At 39.6% G+C, this 22,199-nt stretch overlaps 1 protein-coding gene and 3 non-coding genes across 6 annotated transcripts in view, besides 3 other annotated features; all 4 read right to left on the reverse strand.

Moving 5' to 3' along the window:
• The window catches only part of CDC20B (cell division cycle 20B), a 60,207-nt gene extending 54,398 nt beyond the window's left edge, over positions 1-5,809 (reverse strand). For all 3 annotated transcript variants that reach the window (NM_001145734.2, NM_152623.2, NM_001170402.1), the window contains exons 1-2: positions 5,570-5,809; positions 5,220-5,282 (exon numbers count right to left, since the gene is read on the reverse strand). In NM_001145734.2, coding sequence (NP_001139206.2) covers positions 5,220-5,282; positions 5,570-5,632 — 126 coding nt within the window. In that variant the 5' untranslated portion in view covers positions 5,633-5,809. The remainder of the gene's footprint in view (positions 1-5,219; positions 5,283-5,569) is intronic.
• Positions 3,164-3,254, reverse strand: MIR449A (microRNA 449a). Its single transcript, NR_029960.1, has one exon. It is a non-coding gene; the product is annotated as a microRNA 449a (primary transcript).
• Positions 3,278-3,374, reverse strand: MIR449B (microRNA 449b). Its single transcript, NR_030387.1, has one exon. It is a non-coding gene; the product is annotated as a microRNA 449b (primary transcript).
• MIR449C (microRNA 449c) lies at positions 4,894-4,985 on the reverse strand. The gene has a single exon (NR_031572.1). It is a non-coding gene; the product is annotated as a microRNA 449c (primary transcript).
• Positions 5,533-5,827: a silencer, noted in NCBI's record as "tiled region #4084; K562 Repressive DNase matched - State 4:PromP". NCBI's record gives its function as "represses a minimal TATA promoter and a strong SV40 promoter by Sharpr-MPRA in K562 cells {active_cell/tissue: K562}" and the evidence as "EXISTENCE:reporter gene assay evidence [ECO:0000049][PMID:27701403]".
• Positions 5,915-6,244: a silencer, noted in NCBI's record as "silent region_16009". NCBI's record gives its function as "represses an Ori minimal core promoter by ATAC-STARR-seq in GM12878 lymphoblastoid cells {active_cell/tissue: GM12878}" and the evidence as "EXISTENCE:reporter gene assay evidence [ECO:0000049][PMID:35858748]".
• Positions 21,399-21,599: a silencer, noted in NCBI's record as "peak5244 fragment used in MPRA reporter construct". NCBI's record gives its function as "represses an SCP1 promoter by STARR-seq MPRAs in K562 erythroleukemia cells {active_cell/tissue: K562}" and the evidence as "EXISTENCE:reporter gene assay evidence [ECO:0000049][PMID:32103011]".

The raw sequence follows: 22,199 nt of genomic DNA on the forward strand, positions 1-22,199 counted from the left end.
GTACATATATATAATTCTTAATAACTGCAGTGTATCTAGCATATATATAATGGTGGCTGGTACATGTTTAATAGCAGACTCTGGAGGAGGAATCCTGACATACAGCATTTGCCAGCTCAATGTAAATGCTCATGCTCCCTCATGGTCAATTTCAATCTACCACTGGTTTAGTAACTAGGATGCAAAATTTCTAAAAATGTGATAATTGGTGATGGGCATGATGGCTCAGGCCTGTAATATCAGCACTTTAAGCAGCTGAGGTGGGAGGATCACTTGAGCCCAGGAGTTAGAGACCAGCCTGGGGCAACATGGCAAAACCCTGTCTCCACAAAAAAAATCAAAAAATTAGCTGGGTGTAGTGGCACATGCCTCAGGTCCCAGCTACATAGGAGGCTGAGGTGGAAGGATTGCTTGAGCCCAAAGAGGTCAAGGCTGCAGTGAGCCGACATGGCTCCACTGAACTCCAGGCTGGGCAACAGAGCGAGACCCCATCTCTACAAAAAAAATTTTTAAATTAGCCAGGTGCGGTAGCACACACCTGTGGTTCCAGCTACTCAGGAGGCTGAGGTGAGAGGATTGCTTAAGCCCAGGAGGTAGAGGCTGTAGTGAGCCATGATTGCACCACATTGATTTGTGGTGTTCCTTTGAAAGAAAAATGACATGTTTGGGTGGAGCTGATATGAGGACACTCTATCCATATTTAGTCCTCTGCTTGATTTTATCTTTCCCATCAAATAAAATTCTAATAATTGTTAGGCCTAGAAACTAATCCACCACACTCCTTCCCACTCTTCCCTTCCCCTCATCCAGCTGAACTGTTAAGGCTGTCTCTTGCAGAGCAGTGCAGGGGAATAAAAAGCAGCAGAGAGAGAGAAATTAGGAAGCTATCACTATAATAGTGACAGGTTCAGAGGGCAGCGATGGGAAGTAGTGACATTCCCAGCACCAGTGAACAGCCAAGAGACTGCCCCAAGAGAAAACACCTGGGAGAAAATACTTTGCCATCAGCAGAACCTCCCTCCTCTTTTTACCATCCCTTTTCCCTCTGCTTGACCCTTGACATCCCAGTGTGTATCCCTTTCTTTCCCTCTCCCACCTATGGAAACATTTTCTCTTTTAATTTGTATCTTCACTTTCCTCCTAACCCATTCATCTCTTTAACATATTTTTTATTTCTTTAACATATTTTTATTTCATTCCATTCCTTCCCTCTTTTCTCATCATCTCGATAATATGAGACTAAACCACAACTTTAAATGTCTTCTGTTTATTGAATATAAAGTTGGTTTCCCTACAGAATCAAAAGTTCTAAAAAAGAAAACTTAAAAAAATTTAAGTTGGCATTTTCAGAAACAGAAAATCAATTACGGCATGTTCCTCACTTCTAAGTGGGAGCTAAACAATGGGTACACATGGACATGAAGATGGAAACAGTAGACACTGGGGACTCCAGAAGGGGTAGAAGGAAGGAATACAAGGACTGAAAAACTATCTATTGGGTACAATGTTCACTATTTGGGTGATAGGTTCACTAGAAGCCCAAACCCCAGCATCGCCTATTATATTTATGTAACAAACCTGCACATGTACCCCCTGGATCTAAAATAAAATAAAGTTGGCATTTTATATCTTGCTCTTTAATTTAAAAAAACTAACACACAAAAGCCAAAGCTTCTAAATTTAGTAGGTTTTATTTTTATCACTAGGTCAGTGATTCTTTATAGAAAATAACATGTTGAAATTTAACCTTAAAAAAAGACAAGATGAAAATAATATTTACATGGAAGATATACTTAAACATAAATCTCCTGAAAGTGAATAACACTGGGCAACATCAAAAAGAGGATGTGATTTGAAAGTAGTAAAATGCGTAAGAATCAAATTATAGATATCTATTTAACCCATGTTCTAGAAATATGTTTAAATAAGGAAAGCATAAAAATTATTTTACCAATAACTTATAATCCAGTACAGTAGAGAATGCGAAATATTTCTTATATCTCATCTATGGCTTAACTAACTGATGGCACCACCAAAGTCAGTTCCACTGACTGGCTGCAAATGTCCGCACAAGAATACTGCATGTCTGGAAGCCAGCACATATCTATGCTACTTCGTGGGTCAAAATGCCTCCAAGGTAATGAGAATATATTTAAGGTCATATTGTATGGTCAGTTCTTCCCACTTCACAAGTTGTTAGATCTCATGCTGTCTTCCAAATATTTCATGAACCTGTGATTTTACAGAAAATGAAGTGAAAGGATTGAGGTAGATCTTCCAAAAAAATGTAAACCATCCCCCACCCAAAAAAAATCCCCAATATTCTTGATATTTCAAGTGAAAAATGTTTTAGTTGACTGACTCATCTGGAAAATTACCTCAACTTTCCCTTCAGTTGGTACACACACAGTCATGGCTATAGAAACCAATTCTAATGCTGTATTTAGAAACTAATGATGCAGAGGCCGGGCGCAGTGGCTCACGCCTGTAATCCCAGCACTTTGGGAGGCCGAGGCGGGTGGATCACGAGGTCAGGAGATCGAGACCATCCCAGCTAACACGGTGAAACCCCGTCTCTACTAAAAATACAAAAAAATTAGCCGGGCATGGTAGCAGGCGCCTGTAGTCCCAGCTACTCCAGAGGCTGAGGCAGGAGAATGGCGTGAACCCGGGAGGCGGAGCTTGCAGTGAGCCGAGATCGCGCCACTGTACTCCAGCCTGGGCGACAAAGCGAGACTCCGTCTCAAAAAAAAAAAAGAAAGAAACTAATAATGCAGAAAGAATCCTAAAGACTTCACTGAAAATCTGGGGACACATTGTAGGTCCATTCCACATTGTTATTACATTCTAAACCTTATAGTTAAAAACATGTAATTTCATAAATACTTAAACACTGTCTACTCCGAAAGACTCCAAAGACTCCAAAAATATTTCTTAAAAATTTTTAGTTATGGAAAAGCAGGCATAAGTAAATTTTTCTTAAAAGGAAAAAATTTAAGTAATTGTAATACTTTCCTTACCATTATAAAACTGTGCATTGTAAGTATTACTGTATTATAAGCTAATGGCAATAATATATTATGGTAAATAGTGGCTTGCTTCATAGCAGAAAGTACACATAAACACACACTAATTACAGATTCAGTTACACTCTGATGTTCATTGTATATGCAATAAGACAGCAGTTGCATGTTAGCCGATGCCATTCACATATTCAACCAGCTAACAATACACTGCCAGCTCATCACACACAGGTATCCAGAGCACTTCATTGACAAGAAGAATTTATCCAGAAGCAAGTGGCAGGGTAGTTGTGGCTGCTGACTTGACCCAAGCAGCCAGCTAACAATACACTGCCTACCTGATTCAGGTCACTGCCGATTCTCGTGGCCCAGGCAGTCACTGAGGCTAAATTTGTAACATGAAACATAGTGGCAGAACTCTAATCTTAATAGTCACATTAAAGAAAACTTATACACAAAATGTATTACTTCAAGACTATAAGAAATAAAATCAATATTTGCTTGAATCTAGTCAAAAACATAAAAGTTAAACAAAAACTTTAAAACTTTCAGAATACTTACATTTAGGTTTTCCAAATTAAATGCTTGGATAAAAATATGTTCTACAGTACAAATGAATTTTAAAAGTTACTTAACTGTAGGCTGGGCGCAGTGGCTTATGCCTGTAATGCCAGCACTTTGGGAGGCCAAGGTTGGCTGATCCCCTAAGGTCACAAGTTCAAGACCAGCCTGGCCAACATGGTGAAACCCCGTCTCTATTAAAAATACAAAAATTAGCCCAGCGTGGTGGTGCTGCCTGTAATCCCAGCTACTCAGGAGGCTGAGACATGAGAATCACTTGAACCCGGGAGCTGGAGTTTGCAGTGAGCCGAGATTGCACCACTGCACTCCAACCTGGGCAACAAAGTGAGACTCTGTCTCAAAAAAATAAATAAAAAGTTACTTAACTATAGCTTTTCAAATCACTTCTGTTTACTGATCCAAAGACTACTTGTCTGTATTAGACAGTAAAATATCTAGGAGTCGTGATAATACATAAGCTGTGCACGACACAAAACTGCAGCAGTGTTTGGGGGAAAAAATCAACATTAAAGTATTTAAGAAATGTAAGGGCTTAAATGCAATTAGTTTTCTCCTACTAGAAATGACATTAGTAATCGAGTTCTGAAAATGCAATTATGTATTCAATATAGGATGTTACCACTTGAATACTGAATTTTTTTTTTTAAGAGGCAGGGTCTGGCTCTGTCCTCCAGGCTGGAGTGCAGTTGTGCAATCATAGCTCACTGCAGCCTTGAACGCCTGGGCTCAAGCAATCCTCCTGCCTCAGGCTCCCAAGTAGCTGGGACTACAGGCACATGTCATCATGCCCAGCTAATTTTTGCAGTTTTTTTATAAAGACAAGGTCTCCCTGTGTTGTCCAGGCTGGTCTTGAAGTCTTGGCCTCAAGTGATCCTCCTGCCTCAGCATCCCAAAGTGCCGGGATTACAGGCATGAGCCACAGTGCCTAGTTGCAAAATTTATATAAGATCTAGAAAAATCTATTAAAATGGTGGTGGATTTGGAACTAGAATCTCTGCGTACAGGTCAAAGGAAGATGAACTATTGAGCCTAGAGAGAAGCATGGTAAATGGTGACAGAGATTTAAAGCAGATGAAGGCTCTTTATGAAACACGTTTATAAAACCATTTAAATTTGTTTCCTTTTACACTGATTACAGGAGACACTAAAGACCTTTGGGTTTGGTCTTTCAAGGAGAACAGGTACTACATTGGATCAACTTTAAATTGCTCACGTTAAGAACCATGGTTTATGCCACTTCTCCACATTGTCCACAAGATGGCACCATTTCCATTTCTTTGGGGGGCGTGCTTCTGAATGCAACAGAGAGGAGTGCAACTAGCAACTGTTAAAATCATTAACAGCCGCTAGCAATACACTGCCTACCTGACACATCCCAGCTTTATCCTTTGCTGTGGAGGCAGAAACTAGAAAGTACGATTCAGATGCAAACGATTGCATTATTTGTCTGGGATCTTCAGTTTCATAAAGAAATTTTTTTTAGTATGTAATAAGATACTAAAATTCTCATATTTTCAGACCAGCTCAAACTTCCTACAAATACATTATTTACCAAGAATTCGTTTGTTCAAGATCAGAATTAAAACAGAGAACAAGAACAAGCCCTGGACTCACGTTGGCGGAATCTTGACTTCTCTTCTGCTTCAAGTCTTTGGAGAGCACACGCATGATACTTTCCTTTGAAAACACAGATAACATATTGAGGGAGAAACTATTTAGGAAAATCATAATTTCAGGTGTGGAATTTTTCTAGATCTTGTGCTTGTCAGATTACACTTTTTTTTTTTTTTTTTTTTTTTTTTGGCAACTAGGCACCTTCAGAATATAACTAAATTACATCACTCAAATTTACGACCAGGGCTTAGAGTTTCGTACCACCTCTTGGTCCTAAACAGATATTATGAACGGGGCCTTCGGCCCCGCATTAGAGAGTTAGGGAGAATGCAGAAAAGGGTGTTACTCACCCACAGCATCTCCTCTTCCGTGCGGACCCTCCGAGGCGCGGTGCGCTCCAGTTTCCACTCCATCTCCGGCTGACTTCGCCCTGCCTGGCGTTTGGCCTCTCTGCTCGACTGCCTCTGGTTTTCTTCCCAGGTCTAAGTCAGTCTTGACGCCTAATCGTCAAACCCCTGGAGTCCCGTCCCCCAGGACCATTCTATTTCACCACCTCCCTCCAGGTCCCCCACTCCTCCCACCGCCGCTGCAAGGTGTTCCCCAGGGTACCATTTAAAAAGCCGGCGGGGCGGCAGTCGGCGCGGGAATCCCCCTCGCCGGCTTCTTATTGGCCGGCGCCGCGGTGTCGTCAGAGCCCGGGTGGGATTCCCCGGCGCGCGCCGCGGCCCCGCCCCTGCCGGCCCTCTCTGGGCCCCGCCCCGCCACCGCCTCCGGCCGAGGCGCGCACCCGGGCGCCAAGCTTTGCCGCGAGCCGTGGCGGGCCTGCGGCTGGGCCTGGCGCCGGGGGCTGCCACCGCGGCAGGAGGCGGAGGGGTTGGCGGGCGAAGAAGCGGGTTCTGGGAGTTCACGATCTTTCCATTTTCAGAAACAAGAATGTTTCCTTATAACGGCCCTGATCCCTGTTCCTCTGCACCCACTTCTCTTTCTCCAACCACACCCTGCCTTTGCAGGATCCGAGCGTGCACAGCTCTCCGGCCTCTGTCCGTTGGTAATCGCTGTGTCAGCTATAGATGTGAGGCGTGTTCGTCAGCTCTTCGTTTTCAGAAGGCAAGAAAACGTGGCAAGATTTCTATGCCGATCAAAAGGGAGAGCGTTGACATATTTATGCAATAAATTATTCCCTGCTCTATACATTGGGAGTAGTCAGGTCCTCTCACTCGGGCTTCTGAGCCCTGTTCCTTAGCAGGGGGTAGGTGAGAGAGGTGAAGAGGTAGTGAAAGAACCAGTGACAGGCAGGACCTCATAAGGCGTGAAGAGGGGGCCAGAAAGCTGAGCACACTGGGGACTCCGTGATAAAGGGGGAGAGGAAGATATTGAGGGTTGAGGAAGAGGTCTGGCGGGAAATGACAGGGAACCAGATGGGCTGTGCAGCCTTAGCTGCCCATCTGAGCTGCCAAGAGAGCCGAGTTGTGCCATATGGCAGGAGGGGACACTGCATCTGGGAAGCCTCTGACAGCCTGGCAGCCTGTTTGTCCCTCCCTTGCTAACCCCCCAACCATTTTTGACATTGGATTGTATTTTGCTCTAAGGCAATGTGAGTTTGTGTGTTTTTCTGGGGAAACAGTTCATAGATAGCAGATACTCAAAAGGGTCAGTGATCCAAAAAAAAAAAAAAAAAAAAACCTAAAACTCACTCCCCTGCTTTCCTTCATACTGAAAGCAAGAAAAAATGGCATTAGAACTAAGACCCAATCTTAGACCAGTTTTCTATGTACAATAATAATGCTGCATAGGGTAACTTAATCTTCAAATGACATATATCAAAATGTTTGATAGTCAAATAACTAGTGGATTAAAAGATCTCTAAGTTTCACCCACAAGAAGTCTATTTTCCTTGCAGTGGAGTACTCATTCCAAATTCCAGTAAATCTTTCAGCAAACATTAAGACTAAATAAAAGTAAACTATTATTGGATGAGAGTCAGATGCATTGTTAATTTAAATGATCAGTTTTGCAAATGCCAACTAAAACTCAAAGTATATTGGAAATAATATGAAGGACATATTATCTTTGTTCTATTTTTAAATATAGTTTACATTTAACCATTTTGTATAAACACAGAATAAAAGCAATTCAACTAATAAGCTCATAAATCCATGTAAATTGGGATTTTTAGAATCCAATTTCTTACAAGTACTAAGAATAGTGAATCATTCATTTAGAATGCAATTATCTGTAAAAATACATTTATAAATTCCATTATAGCCATTAATTCCACAGCATACATATACACAGCCTCCAAATGTCTTTTTTTCCCCTAGTGTGAAGTAGAGAAAGTATTAGTCAAATATCTTTAGGAAGTAATTATGCAGTTGAATATTCAGATTAAAACTTAACTTCAGAATGATGGAAACAGAAACTCGCCACTTGGCAAATATTACAGTAATAACTGTCAAGAATACTAAAATTACCTTGCATATGATGAGAATACTTCCCCCTATAATTAAACACAAAAAATAAAATCACAACTTTTCACTGGCCAAAACTGGCAGAGACCACCTTAACCAAGTGATCAAAGTTAACATCACCATTAGTGAGACATGTTGACATACTGTGCCTCATGAGAAGGACACATCACTTCTGTGATATTTTTGCCCCACAAAATGCATAACCTTAATAGTGAGAAAATACTAGACAAACCCAAATTAAAAGACTTTCCACAAAATTGGCCAGTACTTTTCAAAAGTATCATAGTCATCAATAAAGAAAGAGTAAGAAACTGTCACAGATTAAAAGAAACAAGACATGCCAACCAAATGCATTGCGAGGTCCTGGATTGAATCCTGGACCACAAAAAAGAAGATATTGGTTAGATAACTGTAGAAATTTGAATTGATCCATATCTGCAGATTAGTTAATAGAGTAGTAGTAATGCTGATTTCCTAGTTATGATTATTGTACTATAGCTATATAAAATGTTAAGATTTGTGAACGCTGAGTGAAGGATATAATGGAATTATTTGTACCATTTTTGTAACTTTTTTCTAAGCCTGAAATTATTTCAAAATGAAAAATATTTAACATCATGTGGTCATTCTATTAAAAAGCACTTTGGTAAGACTGTTTGGGGAAAACAGAAACATCCTGTAAACATATTATCTTAATTTTTATCAAATATGGTTTAGGAACAATGTCCAATTCAAATATTTATGCGCCTAAGAGTAGCTTTACTATCTTTCAAATGTTTCCTCTTTGAGAATGGGTTTTGCAGGGAGGATGTGACAATGAGAAAGGCTGTGAGGAAGACTCCTGGACAAAGGCCAATAAGAAGGATTTTGAGGAAAGAAAGGCGACAGGAGCGAGGGGAGGTGGACTAGTGGAGGAAGGGAGAGAAAGAATTTGGAAAAGCTTCCCTTAACTCTCAAAGTCGCCGGTGCTCTGAGAATCTCAGTAGGTCCCTATCAATGGGAAGCAAGAGGATATTCAAGCTTCCCAAATGCGATCTCTTTTTTTTTTCAATTACACTTTCATTCTAAACATCAAGAATGTTAAATATCTCAAAAATATGCCATATACATGGGCTCGCTTCAGCGGCATATGCACTGAATGTGCAATATACCAAGTACACTCCCTTCAATCCGCTCTCCCAACCTCCTCCTTCCCCGACCTTCGTCAGACCCTTTTCAATGTATTTGCACGTGCACACATAGAGTCTGGCCCTGTGGATCTTTCCCCACAAATGAGATCTCATTATACTTATCATTTTTCAACTTGTTTTCTCTAATTCACTGTATTCAACTAATTTCCGAGCAGTGCAAACCGGAGAGCTCCCCATTCCCAGCGCCAACGGCAGGTTTGCGCGCCCCTCCGGCCCGCGGTTACTCCCCGCCCTGCTCCAGGCTGGTGCCTCGCCCTCAGCCCGCTCGCGCCTGGCTACGCCCGCGCCCGCGCCCGCTCCCGCCCCTAGCTTCTGCGCGCCGCCCTGCAGCCCCTGCGCGCGCCTACTGGGCCAAAGGGACGGTTGGGAGTTTGCTCCAACTGTCCCTGGGGCACGCCTTCCCCGCCCAGCAGGGGTTGGGGAACGCGAGCTGGGAGTGTGAGGGAAAGCGCCACGCCAGTGGGGGCTGATACAGCTCCAGCCTGTGCGGGGCAGGCGTTAGACTGCAGAAGGGGAGAGCTTAGGATAACCGCACTCAGGTGGCGCAAGGAAGTCAGCCACGAAGAAAAAGAAAGGGAAGGAAAAACATCGTCCCAGACTGATAAACTCTCTGCTCCCCGGTGTAACGTCGCTCAGTATAGCGAGAGCATGGATGGACGAATGAAGCCCTCTTGATGCAGACTATCCAAAAATTTAATTTACAAAGGGCTCCAAAAATTTAAATTGCAAAGGTTCCAGCAGTGTAAAAGCCTCAGTCAGAAGAGTGGTCAATAAAGTAGCACATCACCTCTGGTTACATGGCTTATTACTTATTTTTTCGATTACAAGTGGTTCGTGTATATGCATATTTTTCTATTACTGCCTGATTTCTAAGTACAGTACAGGGTCTGTCCTTTAAAATTATTTCTCCATTCATACCCAAATTAACAAGGATAGAGGGAAAGGTTTGCCCAGCTTCACTGCATGAAAATCTTAAGATCACTTCCAACCACTTATTTCCTTTAGGGCATTTTTCCTTTCACATCCTCCTTAGGGTCGTTCTTGCATAGGGTAACTGCCCAAATAAGGTAGTTCTCTACCATTTTAAGGCAATGCAAAGAAAATTTTAAAATGAAATTAATTCAAATCTGTATAAAACAATGGATGAAATCAGGCATATGAAAATGATCCCCTCTCAAAGAAAAGCTGGTTCATGAATGCTCTAGACCTGAAAATCTGTTTTCACTAGATATTCTTCCAGAACTTCAAATGCAACATAATCCAAAACAGAATTGAGAATCTTTCCTTATTCCCATTCTGCCCAGACCATCTATCTATTCCTCCCTCTGTGTGCCGTTGCCAGTATCACCATCTTCCTGGTGGAGCAGAGGCAAAGTCAGCTTTCCTTAACTCTTTCCCTTCCCCCATATGCCCAAATCCACCTATCAAATACATTTTCCCCTCTGCTGTGTTGATTACACCTGCCCTCTTCTTAAACAATAACGATAACCTGATAATCTCCATCTATTCCTTCTCCAGTCCGTTCATTTAACATATGTCTTTGCACCCAGCAAGTGTCATGCACTATGCAAAGAAGTAGAGATCCAATAATAAAGCCATAAAAGGCAATAAGCTTTATCTTAAGCTAATCATATTTCTCCCCTGCCCCAAGTCCCTTGAAAAACCTTCTTTTTTTTTCTTTTCTTGTTTTGAGACGGAGTCTTGCTCTGTCGCCCAGGCTGGAGTGCAGTGGTGCGATCTTGGCTCACGGCAAGCTCCGCCTCCCGGGTTCAGGCCATTCTCCTGCCTCAGCCTCCAGAGTAGCTGGGATTACAGGCGCCCGCCACCACGCCCGGCTAATTTTTTGTATTTTTAGTAGAGACTGGGTTTCACCGAGTTAGCCAGGATGGTCTCGATCTCCTGACCTCGTGATCCGCCCGCCTCGGCCTCCCAAAGTGCTGGGATTACAGGCGCGAGCCACCGCGCCCGGCCTTTCAACACTTAGAATTAAGTTCTAAGTTTCTAATTCACATAAAACCCCTTTAGGACTTAACTTCTCTCTGCCTTTCTCTCATAATCTCCCACAACACCACCAACACCTCCTATCTTCAGATGTACTTGATACTAGCACTCTCTTGCCTTCAGGTCTTTGTTGAGGCTGCCTTACTTTTGGATTGTCTTTTTTCTTATCTCTTCCTGGCAAATTCTTACTCTCAAATTTCAGCCACCTTTTCCAAAGAGCCTTCTCAAATCAAATCGTGCTAGTTAGAATTTCTTTATCTTCCCTCTGTTCCCATACCATATTGTTTGTACTTCTAGTCTGCTTACTTCCAGATTTTGTGTGTGTGTTACATACATTCTCCAGTATATTGTAAGCTCCAAGAATACAAGAATCTTGTGTTTTTCATCTTGATTTCCTCTTCAGAGATCGGCTCAGTGCTTTGCGCATAGGAAGTTTTGCACTTGGTTGGTGATCAATAATTTGTTCAGTGAACCAATTTGTAGATGAGATTAGAACATTTTCCAAATCATGGAAGTGGCAATATAGAATCACAAAAGAAAGACTTTCACATGCCATATTTGGAATGTGATAAACTCAGTTTTAAGAAATATGTGAGTTAAAAAGTATGCAGGTCCTAGGCCTGACACCTGCTAATTGTATAACTTGAAACATGTTATTCTACCCCTTGAAGTCTCAGGTTCCTCAACTGTAAAATAGGATAATTATTATCTACTGTACAGATTTATGATGAGGATCAAGAGAGAAAATACAAAGCTTCTAAAAGTATACATTTCTTTCTTTGAGAATGAAGTGGTGGAACTTAGATGACTAAGTAAAATGAGTATTTGGATAATAAATATGTCTTTATAAAGCACTTCCAGAAGACACTATCCTTAGGTCCAGAGCCATATACTAGGTACGTGGCACATAGTAGGTGGTCAATAAATATAATATGAGTGAATTCTAAACCTCCAACTCAGTTCCTTAACTAGTAATATACTAAATCAAGAGAAATCCATATGGCTAATCTAGTTAGATGGTTATGTCACCAGAGAATAAACATTTGCATTTAAATGTATTCCAATTCTGTGCCCACCAGGCAACCACTTGATTTATGACTTAAGGTTAAGTCTGGGAAGACTTGCTTCTGAAAGGGAAGGGTCCTGATTCTAGATAGCTACATACCTCCAATGGTAAGTGAATTGGATTCTGGCTTACCTACCAGACTCGAGCTTAGTTAATGTAAGTCAGTATCCAATGATTGCTATGTCTTGATAATAGTTCTGGAGAAGTAGATTTGAACCAGAGTGGTGAATTAAACAATGGCGTTCTCTCCGGACCAGATATTCTTGCTCTGCCATTAACTTGCAGTATAATTTTGGTCAAGTTACTCTTCCCCAGAAGTCTGGTTACTTATAAAATGAAGACATTAAACAGAGGAAACTCTAATATTCTTTCTACCTCTGTATCATTATAGTTCACGAATTACCAACCAGAGTGACCTCAGCATGGAACTTCCCAACTGGGAAGCTATCTGGAATCACAGCCAATCAGCCTCTCAACATGTCTGATCATGGCAACACTAAAGTCCACAGAAAGAGTACCCACGAACACATAAGAAGTTAGTTTTCTAGAGCTTAACATGCAGTGAAGCAGAGCAACACCAAGGGGCAATTTGGAGTTTTAAGCCCTAAAACCCGGGCTCCTTTCCAGAGGGTGAAATGTTGAAGAAACAGTTTAGATAAACTCATACACAAAAAAGTTGACTAATTTAAAGATCAATACTTGTTCTTTTTTAACTTATTTTATGATTGCTCTTATGCCTTCTTTTTCCAAGTTTTCCAGGGACTACTGATACTTTAGATATAAATCTTCTGCTTTTATAGTAAGCAAAAGCAAGGTTGCTCTTTGTCCCAGATTACCTCAACCTGTAAAATGGCATGCTGCAAACCAATTCTGAGCCCAGATAAAAGAGTCATCAAGATTTCACATTCTTAGCATGTCCAGCAAGACATGTAGGAACATGAGAGACCATGGAGGAGTGTCTTCCAAAACAAATGTTAGGGCTTCTGCCCCTAGTGAATTTTACTTTTAGTGATTTTTATCTCCTCTAAACTCAGAATGACATAAAATATGCGCCCTCTTGCCCCTTTGCTTCTTTGTAGCATAGAGCTGTGGGAAGAACACAGGCTTTAGAGTCAGAGAACCTGTTGGAATCCTGGCTTTTCCATCTACTAGCTGTGTGAACTTAGCCAAGTCATTAACACTCCCTTCCAGAGCCTCAGCTTCCTCATCTGCAAAATACTAATAATATCTATTTCATATGTTGCTGTGAAGACCAGATGGAAAAGAAATTGAGGCCAGGAGCGGTGGCTTACGCCTGTAATCTTAGCACTTTGGGAGGCCAAGGCCGGCAGATCACCTGAGGTCAGGAATTCGAAACCAGCCTGGCCAACATGGCAAAATCCCTTCTCTACTGAAAATACAAAAAGTAGCCAGGCGTGGTGGTGCACACCTATAATCCCAGCTACTCGGGAGGCTGAGGCACAAGAATCACTTGAACCCAGGAGGTGGAGGTTGCAGTAAGCCGAGATTGTGCCACTGCACTCCATCCTAGGTGAGAGCAAGTCTCCATCTCAAAAAAATAAAAAGTAAAAAGAAATTGAGAGAAAACTTTGTAAAAGGCAAGAAGCAATCACTAAAAACTGGAAACAACCCATATCCACCAAAATGCCTTTCGTCTGTTGAATGAACAAGCAAACTATAGTAAATCCACACAATGGATTCAACAACACAAAAGAATGAACTATTCATACAAGCAACATCATGGATGTATTGGGAATGCAATATGCTCATTGAAAGAACCAGACTCAAAAGGCTACATATTATATGGTTCAACTTATAGGACAATCTGGAATAGACAAAACTATGGGGACAGGAAATAGATAAATGATTGCCAGGGAGGAGCTAACTACAAAGGAGCATAGGGAATTTTTTTAAATGATGGAACTGTTCTATATCTTGATTGTGGGGTGGTTATAGGACTGTAGGCATTACTGTACACTCATAAAACTATTCACTAAAAACAAGTAAATTTTACTCTATGTAAATTGTACCATTATTTTTAAATGGTTTTTTAAAAGGAAGAACCATATCAAAATTTGTTGTGTTTCTGCAACTTCTTACACTCTACACACATGTTCTGTATTCTGATTTTTATTTCAGTATTCAAGACCAATGAATGAAATATTTGGGTCAAGATAGAAGAAAACAACAGCTGAATTGCTGTAAGAATGCCCATGCTAACTTTGCCATATACACTGCTTACTGGTGCCATATTCCAGAACTACGTTGTAAAGCCCCAAGACACACAGACTATTTACAGAGCTCTATATGCAACCACAGAGGGCCATTGCCCCATGTGAGTACATCAGTGGATGATGTTCCCTCCATGTTTCAAGAGACTATTCTATATGTAATTCTCTCCTTTTGCCACATCAACATCCGAATTACACATTGTAGGGAGAAAATTCAATTCAACATACCATGATATAATCAGTTCCCACTTATCTGCTAATAGAGGAAAATTGCTTTAGATATTATATAGAAGCAATCCTGAAATCTCATTTAAGCAATAGTTTCATCCATGTCATCATTCTACCATCATTTGTCAGAATTCCAAATGCAGTTGATATCTTTTGTATAATTTTGCTTTTACCTCCTCCCTTGTTCATCTTGTTCATTATTTTTTTGGATGCACCAAGAAACAATAAAACACTAGACAGGAGGCATCAAAAGAGAAGCAGATCTGTATATAGCCCACAATAGATAAACCCACAGGTACTTAAGTGTTTACACTAGTAAGTAGACTTACGAGCTTCAGCACTGCCCTGAACAGATGCCTTCATTTCCTCATGATTCTACAATTTCCCCTCAAGTCAAAAAAGTCAGTGCATGATGTTCTTTTAGTTATTTTTAAATGGGACACTGTTTAAAGAAAAACATACTCAAGAGATTCTCACAAGCCTGGGATTTTTAAATTTAGTGACCAAGGATGAATTTTCTCTCTTTAACTCTTCATATTGTCTTCGTATTCTATTATTGGATATTTGCTAAATGACCACAATGTACTTAGTAATGTGCCAAACATAAAAGCTTTATAATCTAACTTCTGACTTATCAACTCAGTGCAATTTATTATTGACTTTTTTATTTTTATTTTTTATCTTTTATATTTATTTTCATTTAGACCCATCAGCAGGAGGCAGCTCAGTGCAATTTAATGGAGCAAGTGTAGGCCAGCTGAAGCCCTAACTTTTCCTATATGACTTTAGGCAAGTTTCCTCACCTGCAGGGATTAAATGGCCCATATAGTTATGAAGTTCTGAGACTAACTCTGTCATATGAGGGGTTCGTGAAAGAGGGATAGCCAAGGATTCCAACATGAATCTCAAGAGTTAAAATAAGTCAGAGTTGAATAGTGGTCTTCAGATTTTCTAAGGTACAAAAGAGGCCACTATTACTTCATTATATTTTAGTCCTTTTATTTTATTTAATCCTTTCTCAATCCTCATCAAATTGAATCTTTAAAGAAAAGATGCTAGACCATTTGGGGTTCCCATACACCAGTACACAATAATAGTGGCAGCTTCTATACAAGAAAGTGGTATCATTTCTTGCAAATAGTGTAGAAAGTATTTGTGTCAGTGTATCACTAATACGAAGAAATAAGGTTTTATAGGTAAATTGGAAATACTGTATTGTTCATATCTACAGGGAAAATATTTTGCTTTTTTGGTTGATTCCAGGTTTTAACTCTGTTAAAAAATGATATAAGTAAATATGTACAGAGGCATATATGACATATATATATACACACACATATGTATAAACATCTGTTGCTGGTGTTATTATTACAATGAAAAGGGTGACTTTCAAGATACCTTAGGAATTAGCTCTGATTTTAAGAGATGACAGTTAATTTATTATTTAAATAAATTGGGCAATGCCTATAAATACAAATTTAAACTAAAACTCTGCTTCTTTTGGTGCTTATTAATCACTTCTGCATCCATAACTAAAATACAAAATAAGAGTAAAGAGATTCATAGGGGTCAAAATGGCTTATTGCAGTTTAATATTAACATTTATTTTGCTCTCAAAGAATCTTTGCCTAATTAGTCTGTTTATGCTACTATAACAAAATACCATAAACAGGGTAGTTTATGAACAACAGAAATATCTTTCTCACAGTCTGGAGCCCAGAAAGCCCAAGATCAAGTTGCCAGCAGATTCAGTGTCTGGTGAGGACATTTCATGGTCTTAGATGGTGCCTTCTTGCTGCATCCTCACATGGTGGAAGTGACAAGGGGACTCTTTTATAAGGGCACTAATCCCATTCATGAGGGCTCCACCCTCATGACCTAATCATCTCTCAGTGGTCCCACCTCCTAATACTATCACCTTGGGGGTTAGGATTTCAACATGTGAATTTTGGGAGAATCTAAACATTCAGAACATAACGCTAATGTAACTTTTATTTCAATGCTACTAGAAATATAGTACAATTAAGAATTTTTGACTTATGTGAATGATTCTCTTCCCACACTCCAGTTTGTTAAAAGGAAAACTGAGACACAATGAAATTTTAAAGAGTTTATTTGAACAAATAACAATTAGTGATTGGGATAATCAATATCTCAAATTTCACCTTTGAAAAAGTAAAGGCAGTATTATTACAGAGTCCACTTATTAAAGACTTTCTTCACTAGCCCAATAGCTATTATGGGCTTATCATTTGTATTTTGTAGTTGTATTAGTTGCTTTTAAGATATCTTTCTGTCATCTAAAATACTCAAAAGATTTGAAAAAGAGTCAACATATCTGTAAGCATTAATTCCATGGTATCAAAATCCAAAATTACCCCTACAGTTTATAACAATACATCAATTACCAAAATAATACTTCATTAGACTACATGTAAAATCTATACATATTCTAAAAGCAAAAACTCACAAACTAACAAAAATCATATCTTCCAAGTAAAGGATGCTTATGGTGGAGAGTGAAAAGTGATGATTAAAAAGGACCACCAGCTGGGTGCAGTGGCTCACCCCTGTAATCCCAGCACTTTGGGAGTCCAAGGCGGGTGGATCACGAGGTCAAGTGATCGAGACCATTCTGGCCAACAGGGTGAAACCCCATCTCTACTAAAAATACAAAAAGTAGCTGGGCATGGTGGCACACGCCTGTAGTCCCAGCTACTCGGGAGGCTGAGGCAGGAGAATCGCTTGAATCCGGGAGGTGAAGGTTGCAGTGAACCAAGATTGTGCCACTGCACTCCAACATGGCGACAGAGCTAGACTCCTTCTCAAAAAAAAAAATAAATAAAAGGACCACCATAAAATAAAGAATTGGGAGTTTTAATTTACTGCAAGCTAGTATGAGTCAATAGGATGATGTTGATAAAACTACCATAAACATTTTAGACTTTATTCATAGAAATGTAATGTCCCCAAAAGAGAAATGATTTTTCTTCCTTTGTACTGGACAGACCCTAACTGTAGATATTACACTTGAGTATAATACTTTATAATGGATATTGAGAATCTCATCCAGAGAAACCTCACAAGTATATTAAAGTATCTAAAGGTCATGTCAGAAAAAAAAATTACATTAACTAGGAAAAAATCATATTAACTAGAAAGCAAATCTCTCATCCAAGTACTAACCAGGCCCAACCCTGCTTAGCTTCTGAGATCAGATGAGATTGGGCACATTCAGGGTGGTATGGCTGTAGACTAGGAAGCAAATCTGAAGAAAATAAACCCAAGTCTGACTTCTGGGCAACCAACCCTGTAACACCATCCATCTGCACTTCTTCCTCTGCAATAGAGAAGATATCCCTCCTCCTAAGGTTAATTTCTCCAAGAACTTTACCATTTTCTCATGGTCCATGCTGTAGTAGTACCCTCCATCTCTCCTCATCTGCAAGCTCTCCCTCTTTGTTGGATTCTTCCAATAAGCATTTAAATGTTTTCAAATCTCCAACTATTGTTCCAGGCTATCCTTTCCACAGCTAAGATTCTCAAAAGATTTGTCTACATGCACAATCTCAATTTCCTAACTTTAGCTCATCCTCAATCTATTCACCATCATTTCCCCATTGCTACCTTCAAAAGGTCTCATTTTTCATCTTACTTGATGAAAAAGGAATATTGCTCAGGAGAGAAATGATTTTTCTTCCTTTGTACTAGACAGACCCTATCTGTACATATCACAATTGAGTGTCATACTTCATAATGGATATCAAGAATCTCGTCCAGAGAAACATCACAAGTATATTAAAGGAATTCATCATCTTCCTTGATGAAAAGGAATATTGCTTCCTCCAAAGGAGGAATTCACCACTTCTTCCTGCTTAAAATTTTTTCTGTTTTTTAAATCAACACTACACATTCCCAGTTTTCCTCCTTCTCAGTAATCATTACTGGTTTATCCTTCTTGTTAGGCTTTGGAAATGTTTAAGTTTTAAATGGTATGCTGGTAAAACAGCTTTGGGGCACCAGGTTAGGCGGGAGGAGGAAGACCTGATTTGAAGCAATTGACAATTTCTGTGGTGTAAATACTCCTACCATAGCTGATTTCAAGCTCCCAACATTATATCACTGAACAGAGTCGGGAAGAGAAGAGCCGAATTGGCTCGTGGAACGGTACAAACCAGCTACAGCTCAACACTAGAGGGCTTTTTTTTTTTTTTTTTTTTGAGCCGGAGTCTCGCTCTGTCGCCCAGGCTAGAGTGCAGTGGCGCGATCTCGGCTCACTGCAAGCTCCACCTCCCGGATTCACGCCATTCTCCTGCTTCAGCCTCCGGAGTAGCTGGGACTACAGGCGCCCACCACCGCGCCCGGCTAATTTTTTGTATTTTTAGTAGAGAGGGGGTTTCACCGTGTTAGCCAGGATGGTCTCGATCTCCTGACCTTGTGATCTGCCCGCCTCGGCCTCCCAAAATGCTGGGATTACAGGCGTGAGCCACCGCGCCCGGCCAGAGGGCTTCTTCTAACACTGTACTCCATAAGCAGTCTCGACCTGGTGCATAGTGTCTGTGATCCATACCTAATCCAGACCAGTAGGCTTCCCAGGCATCTCAAACTTCTATTCACACTGAACCTTCCTCCCAAATCTTGGCCTCTAATGTCATCCAAGCTGGAGTACAGTGGTGTAATCATAACTAACTGCAGCCTCGACCTCTTAGGCTCAAGCAATTCTCCAGCCTCTACCTCCTAAAGTGCTGGGATTACAGGCTTGAGCCACTGCATCTGGCCATAAAGCTTTCTTAAGAGCACATAGTACAATACCAGACACGTGGTATGTGCTTAGTAATCTATGATTATCATGGGGGCCGCTTCCACTATAATTTGTATGCCCTAGAGCATAACTGCCCAATAGAAGTATAATGCAAGCCACGTAAGTAATCTTTCAAACTTTCTAGTAGCCACAGTAAGAAAATTTAAAATAAATAGGTAAAATTAATTTAAATAATATATTTAATTTAATGTAACATATATGAAATATTATAATTTCCACATATAATCAATATAAAAAATATTGAGATATTTTATGATTTTTTGGCATTAGGTCTTTAAAATCCTTTGTGTGTTCTACATTTATAGCAAATCCCGATTTGTACTAATCTGCATCTCAAGTGCTCAATAGCCACATGTAACTAGTGGCTACCTAAGACAATGTAGCCCTAGAGAGTTCTAGGAGCTCTTCCCCTCCTCTTCCCAAGGTTGTTTAATCTGACCCATGCTGACTTCCTATACCAGTTGTTCATCCATTGGGTACTATTTCAAGCACTAGAATTTATTGTTTAGTCCCATTTTTAATTCAATATAGTGGATAATTTTCTTATAAGATTGGTTAAAAGAACCAATTATCAAAGGAGATTGTTAAACCTCTTGGAGATATATAAAAATTCCATAATTTACATATGATGATCTAAGTATGGTGTTGCAAAACAGAATAAATAGGAAATTATATGTATTTCATTTCTAATCAAATTTTTAATGCCCCATTTCAAAATTTAAAGGCTAGCAGTTTGTCTTCTGCTTTGAACACAACCAGGCAGAAATCAGAGTAAACATGCTCATGACAGTCAAACTTAAACATCGTCATTAACACACCTGATCTTCAGGTACTTGGCCCAACCTTCTCCAATAAAGATGCATTTGCACTAAATTAAAACGAACACTTTCTTTCCTGAAGGTGGCACTGTGAACATGGAAAGTAATTAGCTCTCTTCACATTATCCAGGATTGTGGGCCTATTTTATCAGATTGAAAAAAAAAAAAATGCAAAATAGGCCAAGCACGGTGGCTCACATCTGTAATCCCAGCACTTTGAGAGGCCAAGGCAGGAGGATGTTTTGAAGCCAGGAATCAAGACTAGCCTGGGCAACAGAGTGGGACATCATGTCTACGAAAAATTTAAATAAAAAAATTAGCCAGGAGCAGTGGTACATGCCTGTAGTCCCAGCTACTTGGGAGGCTGAGGTGAGAGGATCACGACCCTGTCTCAAAAAAAAGAAAAAAACAAATTATATACATCTCAGTTATTCTGATGTCCTTGATAATTTAAATTGCTATTTTCCTTTCATTTTGATTCTTCTTCCTTCCTTTTTGAGATCAAATGTATTGTCTATACTAACTGGGCCCATTGACTTTTTGAGTGAGTTTTTATATTAAGATGTTGTTTTCTTTTTTAAAAAAAAAAAACCTAACAGCTAAAATTTATTGAATGCTGTTTTCAACCACAATACTAAGCACTTTAAATACTTTATAGCATTTTTGTACTTCAGTGGCAAAATGAAGGCAGGAACTATTTTAAAAGAGTAGTTAATTCCCACAACTCCAACTGACATGATTTTGCTAGGAAAATTTAGAGTTTATAAACTTGTTTCTCTGCTTTTCTTCTGGGACAGCATATAGGGAGACAAGATATGATGTTTGTCTTTATTAACTAGAGACTTGACTAAGAGCTTTTATTTTGTTACCTGCTACAAAAAAAAAGAAGAAGAAGAAGAAGAAAAAGAAGAAAAGGAAAAGAAAGGAAGAAATGAAGATCTAATTGGGACATTTTCTGTTTTTTTGTTAACAAACACATACCACCAACCCTCACCAGAATCAGATCTAGTTTAGGAAGGCACAAGCCAACTAAAATATTTTGTCATCAACTGTGGGAAGTTTTGACTCAAACAACCTAAAAGTTTGCAGTGACCTTACTGCTCAATAGGCTAAAATCTTAAACATCCCTCAAAGGTTGAGCCCACATAATTTGAATACATGAATTTGGTGTGTGCCAAAAGTGTGCTATCATTCTCAACTTTCCTATAGAGATTCTACAACTTTATCGCCTAAATGTTGAGTAAAAAGCAAAACAAAACAAAATAGAAACTTGAATCGCATCACTATTATGGAAAACTTACCCATCAGCTGCACCGCCAAATTCTCAGCTCATCATATTTAAATGAAACACTTCCAACTGTGCTTACCCAGTAAGCAAACATACCTGTGTAAATACAGAAGCATTTAGCTAACATTTCATACAGTTCAACTTAGCCAGTGGGACATAATTTCAACACAATTATGTTTACATTTTAGTAATAGGATACACAAGGACCTGATTTACTAGAGTAAGACAGTGAGGAAAAGCCCTTAAATTCTTCTTTATAAGAAGAAGAAACAAACAGTAGCATACTAGTAAAATGGATAGAATCACATGGCTGGTAATCCCTTTAGAAGTTTACAAAAATGAGCATAGTGACTATAGGCAGGACTAAACTATCCCGGTCTGCTCTCTCCTCTTTTGAAATGTCGTGATTATAATCAACTTTAGTTCAGAAAACATTTTTTCTTTAAACAGCACACACGACTGGGGAAATAGATCAATTAGATAACTTCCTCTGGGAGCTCTCAGGCTAGATGGGAAGAGGAGACATACACAATAATGACCCTAACACTGACACACTGTGAGAGTGATATCATGAAAACACAAGGTCCTATAGGATATTCTTTCTATGTAAATAAACATAAATGTAGCCATTCTTAAGCTTTCTCTTCTTAAGGTTAAATAATTTCAATTCCTATTTCCCAATGCTTTGTTTACTGTACACCTCTGAATCCTCAGGTTTCAATATTTATCTTAGATTATAGAACTCAAAACTGTACCACCATTATAAATGCCCAAAGGCTGAATTTGGGAAGAAATGCTTTACTTCCTTTAGTTTCCTCGCATTTTCTTCACTTTTGAAATAATTGTAGGGAAAGTTAATGATCCAGTG

Source organism: Homo sapiens, chromosome 5 (assembly GCF_000001405.40).
Source record: "Homo sapiens chromosome 5, GRCh38.p14 Primary Assembly".
In the NCBI taxonomy this organism is placed as follows: domain Eukaryota; kingdom Metazoa; phylum Chordata; class Mammalia; order Primates; family Hominidae; genus Homo; species Homo sapiens.